Source organism: Homo sapiens, chromosome 1 (assembly GCF_000001405.40).
Source record: "Homo sapiens chromosome 1, GRCh38.p14 Primary Assembly".
Lineage (NCBI taxonomy): Eukaryota > Metazoa > Chordata > Mammalia > Primates > Hominidae > Homo > Homo sapiens.
In genome coordinates, this window is record NC_000001.11 from 41,412,244 (window position 1) to 41,425,268 (window position 13,025).

General features: G+C 55.5%; 4 annotated features.

Annotated features, from left to right (window-relative positions):
• Positions 6,714–7,008: a silencer, noted in NCBI's record as "tiled region #9429; K562 Repressive non-DNase unmatched - State 13:Ctcf". NCBI's record gives its function as "represses a minimal TATA promoter and a strong SV40 promoter by Sharpr-MPRA in K562 cells {active_cell/tissue: K562}" and the evidence as "EXISTENCE:reporter gene assay evidence [ECO:0000049][PMID:27701403]".
• Positions 6,714–7,008: an enhancer, noted in NCBI's record as "tiled region #9429; HepG2 Activating non-DNase unmatched - State 10:DNaseD". NCBI's record gives its function as "activates a minimal TATA promoter and a strong SV40 promoter by Sharpr-MPRA in HepG2 cells {active_cell/tissue: HepG2}" and the evidence as "EXISTENCE:reporter gene assay evidence [ECO:0000049][PMID:27701403]".
• Positions 11,194–11,488: a silencer, noted in NCBI's record as "tiled region #3622; K562 Repressive non-DNase unmatched - State 20:ReprD". NCBI's record gives its function as "represses a minimal TATA promoter and a strong SV40 promoter by Sharpr-MPRA in K562 cells {active_cell/tissue: K562}" and the evidence as "EXISTENCE:reporter gene assay evidence [ECO:0000049][PMID:27701403]".
• Positions 11,641–12,198: an enhancer, noted in NCBI's record as "H3K27ac-H3K4me1 hESC enhancer chr1:41889556-41890113 (GRCh37/hg19 assembly coordinates)". NCBI's record gives its function as "activates a minimal SCP1, AML or CMV promoter by ChIP-STARR-seq in naive H9 embryonic stem cells {active_cell/tissue: H9 hESC(naive)}" and the evidence as "EXISTENCE:reporter gene assay evidence [ECO:0000049][PMID:30033119]".

A 13,025-nucleotide genomic window follows, 5' to 3' on the forward strand; every position in this document is an offset into this window, starting at 1 on the left:
TGGGAGGCTGAGGGACTGGCCAACCTCTCTGAGAGCTGGCTGGGGAGTGGGACCTCCTCCCTAGCCTGTCCCTGGAGTATGAGCACCAAGCCAGGGCTGCTTCCGCCTGACCTGGGCAGCATCTCCCACCCTCCCCACCATGCAGCTCTTTGGCTGTGCAGGTGTGGAGGAGGCACATCTTGCTGGTTCATCTCTCCACTCTTTATTTATTCAACAAGGTTTTACCAAAAATCTCCTATGTGTCTGGCATCTCCAGGACCAATGTTGGACATACATGTCCCTTGACTTCATGCATGAAACTTACCATCAAGTGGGGTAGACCAACAAAGACATAAAGACATATGTTTGTACAAATTGTGAAACGTGCCTGTAGGAGAATAACAAAAACACTTCATTTAGATGAGGTAGTTGGGGAATGTTCTCTGAGGCAGTGACATTTAGGTCTAGACCTGAAGAAGTCAGGCAGACAAAGAGTTTGGGTGACAGGGTGGGAAGGGTGTTCCAAGCACAGGGACCCCAGTGTGCAGAGTTGGCTAGGAGGGGTGAGTTGGGGCAGTGGACCTTCAGGGGTGCCCTGAGCGAGTTGGAGCAGGGCGAAGGGGCTGATGTGGAGAGGCCAGGGCCGGTCTGGGCTTGCCCTGCCACCAGGCTAACCTCAGTCTGCCTGCTGCATAGCAAGTGACCCCACGTGGCTCTGGAAAGGAAAACATGGGGAGTGGCATGCAGGCTGGACTGTCACCGAGATGGCCCTGAGCAGGACCCTTCGCCCTACAGGATGAACAGGCAGACCTTGCAAAGGACAGAGATAAGGCAGGTCTTTCAGCAGGCTGCTGCCAGGAAACTCGGGTGTGGGTGGAGGCAGGGGGCGTGGAAAGGGGACTGCATGGGAATTTGGGGCCCCAGAGCTCTGGTGGAGAGGAGACCCCAAAATGTCAGAGCCCTAGGATCATGAGCCTCCCCTGGGGAGCATCCCAATGCATTTCTTGTTCCCTGTGGCCTCAGGTGTGGGTGACGCCTGAGCTAAGCCAACTCTGGCACTGTCCTGCTGTGTGACCTCAAGGAAGCCTCTCTCTCTCTGAGCCTCAGTGCCCTTCACTGTCAAAAGGGCATTAAAATCCCCTTGCAGAAAGTTGTCAGGATCAAAAGATATAATGGATAGGAAAGGGTCTTAGTGGTTGAGAAGTGACCCTCCCAACCCCCACGAGGCTGCTGGGTTCATCGTTGCTAATGAACTGGTTGGGGGCTGGCTTGGACGCCCATTAGCCACTGCTCTGCCTCGGTGCCCCAGGCCAGCTGAGAGCAGGCAGGGGCTGCTCCCACCAGGGGGCTGTGGGGTTAAGTGGGAGCTAAGAGGATTAGAGGGTCCTTGTGAGTGGTGCAGCGTGATCATCTCCCACTCACCCTTGCCTCCAGCCTGGGCTGTCTACATATCTGGCTGCGGGGCCAAGGAAGAGGGATGGAGGGAGGAGGAGGGAAGGAATCAAAGGGAAGAGGGATTCAGAGGAGCCAGGGAGATCTGCTGCACCCCCACGTTCATGCACATGCACAAAAAGTACACGCACAAAAAATACACACACAACTACACACAAGAGCACATAAACACACACGTATGCAGTGTGCATATAGGTGTACTCGCAAGGATACACGCATGCATACATATTGCACACACATGCACATGAGTGTGTATGCAAGTACATATGCATGTGACAAGCATACAGCATACATGTGCACAGACACATGTGAGCACACATGCACATGCCCCGCACACCTGTGCATACTCACATGCATGTGTGGGTGTGCACAAACACACGTACACACTGGCCGGGTCATGCCCTCCCCCGCTACCCCAGTCTCTCACGCAGTTTGAGACCCAAGGCCTCACATGTCCCCAGGTCATAACTGCACTTCGGATGCTCCTTCAGTGTTACATCAATGACACACATAGCCTGTGACTTGCACAATGTCTCACAATGCTAGAAAGGGCCTGAGCCAGGATCTAAACTCATTTTGGAGGGTGGCGGGTGTGCCTGTATGGAGGGATGGAAGGTGAATCCAGGAGACCCCAAAGGGCTGCAGCCCCAGGAGCAGGAGGGGGCTGATGCTGGTAGAAAGAGATATTACACACCTGGCATGGAACTGCTCGGACATATGGTTACCAGTGCCCACCCCCCAGGCTGGCACATCACCTGCCCTCTGCTTCTCTCTCCTTTTAGCTCCCTGGACCCAGTCAGAGAGCTTCTAGCCAAGGGCCTGGTGTCTCATGAAGCGAACGGAGATCAGGCTGGCTGGGTGCCTGGTGCCCCTGAAGGAAGGAGGAAGGGAGCTGGCATCTGTGGAGGACCACTTCTGACCAAGACTGCCTAGTGAATGCTGGCCACTTTCATCTTGTTAAATTTTTAAGTGAAAGGTCAAGGGACTTGCAGGGTTCATGGGGCTGGAGCAGGACAAGGTGGGCCTTGACCTCAGGCATCCATCTCCATATAGCCATGGGCATGGCTGGACAGACATACAGGTTGGAGTGGCCTGGGCACAGCTGCCAACAGCAGCCCCCCCACCCAGCCCCGACTGCCACACTGCATGTGCTGTCCCTGCTGAGGCTGGGGGGAATGAGAAAGTGGAGTGAAGGCATGGAGAGGGCCTGGGTAAGGGGCTCGGGGCTGGACACCCTAGGCATAGCCACAGGTCCTTGAGCTCCAGAGTATCCTGGTGATGCCTGGGGCAGTTCTTGGGTCTCCCCCAAGAGACTGCTCTGGGGCAGGGTGAGCGAAGTCTCCCCCACTGGATGGCATGCTCTGAGGCTTCCTGGAGTTGTCCCCTGTGGCCTGCCAGGGGCCTGGCCGGTGCTGCAGCCTGAGATTTACAAGCCAGCCTGAAGGCGCAAACAATAAATCAAGCTTGAGTCTGGCCGTGGACTTGTCCTCCCACTGCCTTCCAGGCCTCTCACCTGCCATGTCCAAGCCAGGCACTAGAGCTGGGATGGGAGCATCGGGGAGGAGCCCTGGCCCAGCCTCCACCTTCCTGCTTCTCCCTGTGAGACCCTCTCTCTGGGTTTTCCAGGTACTGAGGCCTGGAGGTTAAGGGCTGGGGCTCTTGAAGCTGTCAGCCTGGGTCCAAGCACCAGAGCCCCTCTATTCCTGGTTGGGGAGCTTGTGCAGAGGCATAGCTCTGAGCATCCATTTATGGGGATAATGGTCACACCAGCACCAGGTGCCCTTGTGGGTTTGCTAAGGTGCTTAAAACAGGGCCTGGGAGGTAAGTTGCTCTTACCTGAGTCCCTAAAACAGAACAGAGGGACAAGGGTGTGGCTTTGCCTGTGCCCCAGGGTTTATCCCTCATTGTGTCTGTCCAAGTGCCTTGGGGAGAGGTCAGGGCAGCCCTTTCCCTAGAGGCTGCTGTGAATCACTGGGCTCAAAGCAGGGCCAGGACAGGGCTGACTGGGGAGGTGCTGGGAGGTGCCCCCAGCCACAGCCCTGCAGGCTCAGGGACAGGAACAGTGATAGAAACCAGCCTTTCCTGTCCCCTCTTCCCACTGTGGCTTTTCCTCCTCTGGACAACCCTATGAAGCAGATACTGTCCCTGTTTAAAGATGAGGTTGCTGATCTCATCCTTAGATGAGGGAGAAGAGGAGGTATGTGACTTGCCCAAGGTCACACAGCTCGTAAAAGGCAGGTGGAAATTTGAACCAGCCTCTCTGGGTTTTAGTGTCTCTCAAGAGCACACCAGGCCCAGTGGCTGGGACAGGACAGGACAGGGTGCTGGGAGTTGGTGAGGCCTGGCAAACCACAGGTGCTCACCAAGTATCATTCCCTCTGCCTTCGGAGGCTAGGGAGAGGGATGAAGGGTGCCTCTTCACTGCACAGGGGCCTGTAGGATGCCCAGCAGGGGCCCACCAGGGCTGAGTGGGGCGGGAGCTCAGGGAGGTTGGTGCCCCAGGTGAGTCCCAAGCCCTGCCCTGGAAGAGGCTCAGGAGATAAGCTGGGGCCCTAGGGCCGCATCTCCTAGCAACATGGCCTTGGGGACCCTGCCTGTCTGCCTCAGGTGCCCCAGGGAGCCCAGCTCAACCGCCATCCCCAGGTGTCTGGCTGAGGAACCTGCTGGGTGGGGGCGGAGCAGAGGGCGAGTGCCAAGCCTGGGCTTAGCCCCCAGGACAGGGAAAGAGGGTCCCCTCCTCCAGCCAAGGGTGAAGCTTCTGGGGTGTGGGGGGCTGTGGGGCTGAGAGGGGAGGGGTTTTCCTCTTCCCCTTCCAGCCGTCTCTCTGTGTCTGTCCCCATCTCTCTTCCTAGTGTGCTCCCTGCATCTGGGAGCTCTCCCTTCTCCCTTCCTCTGCCTCCTGCGGCCGCCCTCACTCCCCCACTTCTCCCTCAGGGTTCGGTTTCTCTGTCTGTCCGTCTATCTCTCTTCCTGTCCCACCCGTCTCTTCCGAATGTCTCTCCCACATCTCTCTCGTGCCCCCGCCCTGTTTCCCGTGTTGCTTTGCTCTGCCTCCCTCTGCCCCCCGCCCCCCTGGCTCTCTCCATCCCTTATGCTGAGGCCTCCCCACCCTCACACTTGTGGCTTCCCCTGTCTCCTGCAGCCTTCAGGGAGCCAGGGAGGCAGCGTAGGTGCTGGTACCCCAGCCTCGGTTGGGAGTCATACCACGGATGCTTAGGGGGTGTGCAGGGAAGCCAGCCTGAACAGGAAGACAAAAATTCACTCATGACCTGGGGCTGATCTTGCCTTCTCTTGGGCCTCAGTTTCCCCATCTGTGAAATGGGTCTAATGGCTTTGGTAGGAAGTATCCGTGTTCTCTAGGCTGTTGTGGATCACAGGCTGTGATAGAAATGGACAGAATGTCAGGCTGAGGTGGTGTAGGGCATCTTCTGGAGAAAGGGCTGTGGTGGTGGAAGCCCTTCTGGAGGATGGAGGCTCATCCTTGTCCTTCTGGCCGGCAGGCTTTGGCTGGCACTGCCCTCCTCCCTCAGGAGTGGTCTTCCTGGGGTGAGTCAGGGAGGCCTTGGCGCACTTGGCTGCATCATGGTGCCCTCTGGTGGCATGCGGCAGAAACTGCTGCCACATTTTGCTCTGCCCTCTGGTCCTGGGCGGGTGTGGACTCCAGGGCTTGCTGAGTGACCCTGGGCCCTGGGAATGCCAGTAGGAGCTAAACTCTACTGTGCACTAGGTGAGTGCCAGGCTTCTCTGCACCACAACTGCTTCTGTGCACTCTCCTATTTCGTCTTCACCCTGCCCCACTATTATCCCCATCTTACAGATGGGAAAGTTGAGACCCAGGGTTTTAACCCAGGCAGTTGGCTCCACAGCCAGCACTCTTGACACCACACTTGGAATTCTGCCTCTAAAATGACTCCAGCAGATGCTACAATCCCACTATCAGTGAAGACCCATTCTTTGGGGCTATTTATTTGTCTAACAAATATGTATTTACACTTGCTATTTTCAGAGCCAAAGGAGCTCACAGAATGCACTTAGCCTGATTGTGTCACTTTACAGATGGTGAAACTGAGACCCAGAGAGGGGGAGTGACTGTCCCATGGTCACATGTGTGAGTATGAGGGTGTATGGTAGGACTAATGGATGGCAGTGCGATTGTCAAGCCCAGCATGTGTGAGGCAGTGTGGGACGGGCATAGGAGACAAAACACGATGAGTGCAGTGTTCTGGGGTGAGGGAGGCCACAGTGGGTAGGAGCTAGGGGCCACCCCACCCTAAGTGGGAAGCACCGCTGGAGGAAATGCATGGGGCAAGGGTGGGTGTGAGCTTGGATATGGGCGTGGCTGGGGTCAGTGTCTGAGCTGTGTGAGGGAGAAAGCGGAAGGGAAATGTCTAGGAGCCAGTGGGAGCCACTGGAGGGGGCCACAGTTTCCCAGCACCTGCCTGGTGCCAGGCAATGCAAGGAGTAGGACAGCCTGTCCTCATGGAGCCTGCATTCCAGGGGCTGAAAGCACAGATCACTCCAGAAACAGGCCTCTCACATCCCATCCATGGTGATGGACTCAGAACAGTGTGGGAGGCAAGGCAAGGGGTCTTGATGGGAGCTCCCTGGGGTGAGTGAAACGGTCTAGAGCTTAGCCTGGGGGGTAGTGACCCGGAGGGTTCAGAGGTAGAAATACATCGAGCTGTTCACTTCAAAATAGTGCCCCTTACTGTATGCAAATCTTACCTCAATTAAAAAAGAAGAAAACAAAAAAACCTAGCCTTCTGCTTTGGGTGGGAGGGAAAGTGGGAGTGGCCAGTAATTGTGGCCTGGGTGGAGAGGACCTAGACAGAGAGGTGCTGGCAGAGAATTCTACGGAAAGTTTGCTGGTGGGAGTGAAAGCTGGAACTCGGCTCTAGGTTTCTGAGGAGCCCCAGGGGATGAAGCTGCAAAGATGTGGGGAGGCTCAGGGATCCTGGGGCATCCCATCTCTGGAAGAGCCTCCCCTCTGCAGAAGTGGCAAGAAGCCCTCCGAGAGTGTGGGTCTGGGATGCTTTTTGTCAAATCTGCAGGTGCCTGGGTCCGCAGTCTACTCCTCTGCTGGGGGTGGAGGGGATCCCCTAGATCTACATTTTCACACATTCCCAGGGTAATTTTGACACTGTCAGCTGCACACCAGTATTAGGAAATCACAGCCTGAGGTTCCTTCCAAGCCCTGGCTTCTGTGAATCCAGATTCTGAGATTTCCTGCACTGGAAAGTCATTTTAGCTAGGCCAGCACTGCCACCGCTGGCCATGGCGAGGCTGAGTCCCAGGGAGGGGAAGTGACGTGCCCATGGACTCACAGCCAGCTTGCATCCAGAGCTGTAACCGGAACCCTGCCTAGGCTGCCAGGCCAGGCTCCCAGCCCCGGCCCGGTCAACTTTGTCATGCCCAAGGAATTCCCAGCTGTCAGAGATGGGCGGGGACCGTAGGCAATGGCAGGGAGCCTGGCAGCTGTAGGTGGGCCCCACCCACCCTCCAGGTGCCCCAGGTCTCCCGGGTTGGTTGGGGGCCATCTCAGGCTGTTGGCTGCTCGGGGCTCAGGCCCACCTCCTGCCTCTGTGGCCCCAAATAGAGCTCCTGGGGGCACTTGGCCACCAGGGGAGGAGAGCAGAACCCTGACTCTGTTCCTAGCAGGGGGAGGACCTGTTGAGTCCTGTCATGTGGGAGTGCCACCCCAAACTCCTGCCTGCAGAACCTCATTGGGATGCTGGTGGCACAGGCTGAGCCGGCAAGGTCACTGGAGAACAGAGCGAGGGTGAGGGCGTCCACCGCCAGCCTGGCACTGCCCCCACTGGCGCCTGTTGGGTCTGAACCTCTGCCTAAGGCAGTTGCTTGCACCTGGCCTCACCTCTGCCAGGGCGTCCTCTGCCAATGACAGCCCTCCCTTCTGTTTTCTCTCCTCCTTCCCTTCTCTACCCCTCCCTCTTCCTTTTCTTGCCTACAGGATTGGGGCCCCATCTACTCCTCTTCCATCCTGAGCCCTTTGGAGACAAGCCGACCTGGTTTGAGCCCCAGCTCCTGCTCCTTCTGCTGCTTAGCTCTGTGACCTTTGGCAAGTTGCTAAACCTCTCTGAGTCTCAGTTTACTTATCTGCAGAATGGGGGGTAATAGATCCTATCTCATGAAGGGCTCGTGAGGATCTTTAAACTGTCTAACCTTGGTTGGGCACTTACTCTGTGCCAGGCACTGTGTGTGTGTTTTACCTGAGTTATCATCCTCATTTTATAGACAGGCAAAATGAGGCTCAGAGAGAGGGGGCAGGCTTGTTCCTGGTTGCTCAGCTGTACGTGCAGAGTTGGGCTTTCTGGATCTAAGATCTATGTTCTTCCCTAGGCAGGTTGGCACTGAGGGAGCAGGCAGGGCCATGGGCAGAGCTGTGACCTCACCACATAGGGAGGTGCTGGGCCTGGGTCACATGCGTAGAGAGATTACGATCCTGGGTGTTGTGAGTCAGGTATCGTCTCCATCTGTAGAATGAGGAAAGTTGTAACCATCCCTAGGTGCGATACCTGAGACTGGATCCAGCTTCCTGCAGTCTCCCTTGTCCAAAGCAGGGACTCTTGAGTTCCGTCAGTAGAAGGGGAGCATGACTCTGTCTTATGGAGACAGTCATACATAGCAAATGTTGACTGTAACCACTATCACAAGTCCTGAGATCTTTGCCTGAGGGATGAAAATGGGGGCGCACAGAATTTTAAGTCCTCACTTAAGGACTTGAACTTACCCCTCCTGAGTAGTACATAGTAGCCCCATCTCCAGAGGAAGAAACTGCTGCTCAGAGTGAGGCCCAGCTTTGTCCCAATCACACAGCCCAGTGGTGGGCAAGGTCCTGCCCCCTCCCAGCAGGCCTCAGAGGGAAGGCCAGGCTGGCTCTCTCCCCATCAGCGGCCGCCTTCATTAGCATTCCGAGGTGCACTGCCCAAGTTGCCATTATGTGGTTGGGTAGATTCACATCTGTAGGTTCTAATTCACCCTAATTGACCCTGCAGGGAATCTTCCAAACTCCTGGGTTTTTACAGCTTCTTGGAGTTTTATTTTGGCTTTTGAAAAATAGTGCATTCATGCCAAACACACAGGGCTATAAATCGATGCTGCTCTGATTGATAAAGTATAAAAAGGCCAGCATGCTGCGTGGCCAGGCCCTGGGTTGTCTGTGTATGTGTACATGCATGCATGTATGTATATGTTTGTATATATGTGTGGGTATATATGTGTGTGTCATAGCAACACATAGAAGCTGGCCTTCATTGAGCATTTCTGCGTTGAGCTCTGTGCTAAGCACTTCACAGGCATTAAATACAATCGCCCAGGGTCCAGCTGCTACTAATTGTCTGATCCAGAGCCCAGCTTGGCCAGGAATAAGAAGGTCAGGGCAGAGTCAGTGAGCTCATTTTGGTTGTGGCAAGTCTGAGGTTCTTCTGGGATATTCAGGGGAGGGAGCCTGGTAAGCTCTGAGGCTTACCTGCTATTTCACTTCAAGCAAATCGGTTACCCTCTTTGTGCCTCAGTATCCCTTCTACAAAATGGGGATAATCAATCACAGTACCTACTTCACAGGGTTGTTGTCAGGCTGTCTGCCTCTTGGTCAGGGTGAGAATGGAAAAGCACTCCCTGTATTTAACAACAATGTGTTGAGTGACTCAGTAAGAACCATTTTGGTGGAATACGGGGTGGACAGCAGCAGGCCTGGGAAGCAGACGGCAGGTGCAAGAGTGAGACTGGTCATAAAGGTAACCCTGGAATATGTTTTGCTGGGAAGGGGGAAGAAAGATGGGTCCTGGTTGGAGCCAAGTGTAGGGCTTCAGAAGGGTTTTTTTTTTTTTCTTGTTTGTTTGTTTTTTGAGATGGGGAGTCTTGCTCTGTCGCCCAGGCTGGAGTGCAGTGGTGCCATCTCAGCTCACTGCAACCTCTGCCTCTAGGTTCAAGTGACTCTCCTGCCTCAGCCTCCCAAGTAGCTGGGATTACAGGCACCCGCCACCACGCCCAGCTAATTTTTGTATTTTTAGTAGAGATGAGGTTTCATCATGTCGACCAGGCTGATCTTGATCCCGCCCACCTCGGCCTCCCGAAGTTCTGAGAGTGCCTGAGCCAGGCTGAGGTGCAGTGGTGCCATCTTGGCTCAATGCAGCCTCAATCTCCTGGGCTCAAGCGATCCTCCTGCCTCAGCCTCCTGAGTAGCTGGTACTACAGGCAGCTGGGACTATAGGCATATGCCACCACGCCCGGCTAATGTTTTTGATTTTTAGTAGAGATGAAGTCTCGTTTTGTTGCCCAGGCTAGAGCATGTTTCTTGATGCAGGGAAAGAGAAGGTGAAGAAGGGGGATAGATGGGAGGAGGGAAGGGTGGAGTCCAGGGCTCAGGGCACAGATGGGCTCCTCGGGGAGGGCCGGCTGGTTTATCCCATGGTTGCATCTTTGCAGAGTGGCAGGGAGACTTTTGCAGGGTGGGTGCCCAAGACTATCGCTATAGAAAGGCTCCTTGGGGTCCAGGTTGGAGAGGGAGGGAAGTGCCCCCAGGAGGAGAAGGAAGGTGCTGTGATGAGGTCAGAGAGCGAAGGAGGGCTAAGTGAAGGAGGGCCATGGATACAGGCCAATATGGGGTTGGGAGGATATGGGGTGGGGGAGGTAGTTCTGAGTGAGGATACCCAGGCCATGGCATGGGTGGGGTTGGCTGGGCCAAGTACAAAAGAGGGAGAGAGTTGTTGGTGATGAGGGAGAAGTAGGGGGTTGGCCAGGTCGTCAGGGGTCCAGGGAACTCCCAGGATGAAGGCAGGTGTTGGTGGAGAAGGCCAAGTCAGGCCTCAGGTCCTGGGGGCGTGGAGGTGTGGAGGGAGGCGCGGGGAAGTGGAGGAGGTGGCTGAGGGACGGGGAGAGGGAGGGCGGGGCTGAGGATGAGGGGTTCTTGCCCCAAAGTGGTGGCAGGGTGTCCTGGCTTGCAGCTTGAAGGGTTTTTATATTTTTGGCTTCTTGATGGGAATCTGGAATTAGTGATGGAATTGTGTCATGGATCAGGATTCTGTATTCACAGGGCCCTTAATGGCCCACGTTGCCCTGAATGAGTCCCCTGCTGTCTTGTCTGACTTCTCCTCTGGGTGAAGTCTACGGGGCTGGGCTATGTTGTCATTTACCTCTGCCGCCACCGAGCAGGCGAGAAAACCGCATCGGATGAACAGTTGGAGAGACGTGGCTAGGAGCTCCTTCCTGGAAAACAGTCTCCAGGAGATGTAGCATGGTGAGGGGATTGTGGGTTCCCAGGGCCAAAGTGTTCCAACCAGAAGCTGTGTGGCCTCTGGCAAGTTCTTTTCTTCCTTCTCTGTAACCCAGGGCACAGTGATGCTTCATGAGAGCGTAAAGTGTGTGGCAGTGGGTTCCTTCTTGTTAGTGATTACTATTACTCAGTGCTGACCAGAGAGAGGCCTGGTCTCTGTGGCAGAGGGGGTCCCTGGAGGGGCCCAGGACCAGGGTTTTGTCCCTGCTCTGAGCACTTGGGTGCTGGTAACGCCACAGGTTGTTTCTGGTGCTTTCTCCAAAGCTCTGTGGCAGACAGAACCAGGGGCATCACTGGCTCCATGCCTACCAGCTGTGTGACCTGGGCAAATCCCTGTAGGCACAGAGCTGCCTCCTTACTTGTAAAACACTGATTATTAATAATACCTCCTTCACTTCATTCATTCATGTGTGTACTCAGCAAATATTTCCTGAAGCAAGGTAGTGCTGCCATCAGATGAAAAGAGATGAAGAGTGGCTAAGGGGTTGCCTGGGGGCACACACAGGTAGTCTGCCCCCTCCCGCAAGATTCAGCTCCAGTTCAACCCCAACTACTCTCAGCCCCTGAACCCCACCTGGAGGCCTCTTGGCCGCGGCTCCCTGCTGGTTGAAGCTCAGATGCCCTCTTGTGGCCGCGGCCCCCTCGCACGTCGCCCTGCGCCCGGGGACCGGAATCCCCGACAAGGGGTGGTCAGCTCAGCGGCAGCACTGGACCCTCTACCTGCCCCCGCCCCCCGATTGTACGGAAGTCTGCAGCGTGTCTCAGGCCACACTGCGAGTTGGGGGTGGCCCTGGCCGCCAGCCTGGTGTCCTTGCCTGGAGGAAATGCGAGGTGTCAGATGACCCTGCCCGCCCTGCCCCTCCCAGGCCACCCTCGCAGAGGACGCCTCTCCCTGGCAGGACACCCTAGGGCCGTCTGGGCCCAGCATGCCCGCTGGCTCGTGAGCTGGCCCTGGAAACTAGCGGCTGGCGCAAGTGGGCGTTCGGCGGCACTGCTGGCTGCCAGCTGCCAGCCCCACACCCCACAGGCCCCTGCCTGGCCAGCCCCGGTGCACTCCTGGGATGTCCCCTGCAGGCCCAAGTGTCTCAGGCCCAGCCGCTGCCTCGGGGCTGTGTGCCGCTGGCAGGACACACAGCCTCCCGAGCTCAAAAAGCGGCTCTGCCCTTTCTTCTTAGGTTCAGGCTAAGGCCGGCTGTGCCGGAGGGGCACAACACCTGAGTGGAGATGAGCAGCCCAGGGGCGCCCTGCTGGCCCGCACCCTGCCCAGACCACATGAAGGCGAAGAGGTTGCTGAGTGAGTGGCGGGGGTGTGGGATGGAATTGTGTACGTGGTGTGGTGTGTGTGTGGCGTGTGTTGGTGCGTGTGTGGTGTGTGATGTGTGGTCTATATCTGTGTATGTGGTGTCTCTGTGTAGTGTATATCCATGTATGTGGTGTGTCTGTGTGTGGTGTGTGTGTGCATGTGTGTTTTGTGTGTGTGCTGTGGTGTGTCTGTGTGTGTTGTGTGGGTGTGGTGTGCCCTATGTGTAGTATGTGTGATGTGTGTGTGGTATGTCTGCGTGGTGTGTGTACATGTGTGTTGTGTGTTATGTGCGTGTGTGTGGTATGTGTGGCATATAGCTATTTGTGGTATATGTGGTGTGTGTGGTGTGTGTGTGTGGTGTGTGTGTGCGCACGTGTGTTGTGTATGTGCATGTGTGTTGTGTATATCTATGTATGCTATGTGCTGTGTGTGTCTGTGTGTGGTATGTCTGTGTGGTGTGTGTACATGTGTGTTGTGTGTGTTATGTGCGTGTGTGTGGTATGTATGACGTATAGCTATGTGTGGTATGTGTGGTATGTGTGGTGTGTGTGGTGTGTGTGTGCATGTGTGTTGTGTATGTGTGGGTGTGTGGTGTGGTGTATATCTATGTGTAGTAAGTGTGGTGTGTGTGTCTGTGTGTGGTGTGTCTGTGCATGTGTTGTGTGTGTGGTGTGATGTATATGTGTGGTGTGTGTGTCTGTGTGTGGTGTGTCTGTGTGTATTATGTTATGTATGTTGTGTGTGTGGTGGGTGTGGTGTGGTGTGTGTGTGCATGTGTATTGTGTGTGTGATGTGGTGTATCTGCATGTGTTGTGTGTGTGGTGTGGTGTATATCTATGTGTGGTAGGTGTGGTGTGTGTGTCTGTGTGTGTCTGTGTGTGGCGTGTCTGTGCATGTGTGGTGTGGGTGTGTGTGGTGTTTGGTGTGGTGTATAGATATGTGTGGTGTGTGTGTGCATGTGTGTTATGTGTGTATGTGTGGTATGTATGCATGCATGTA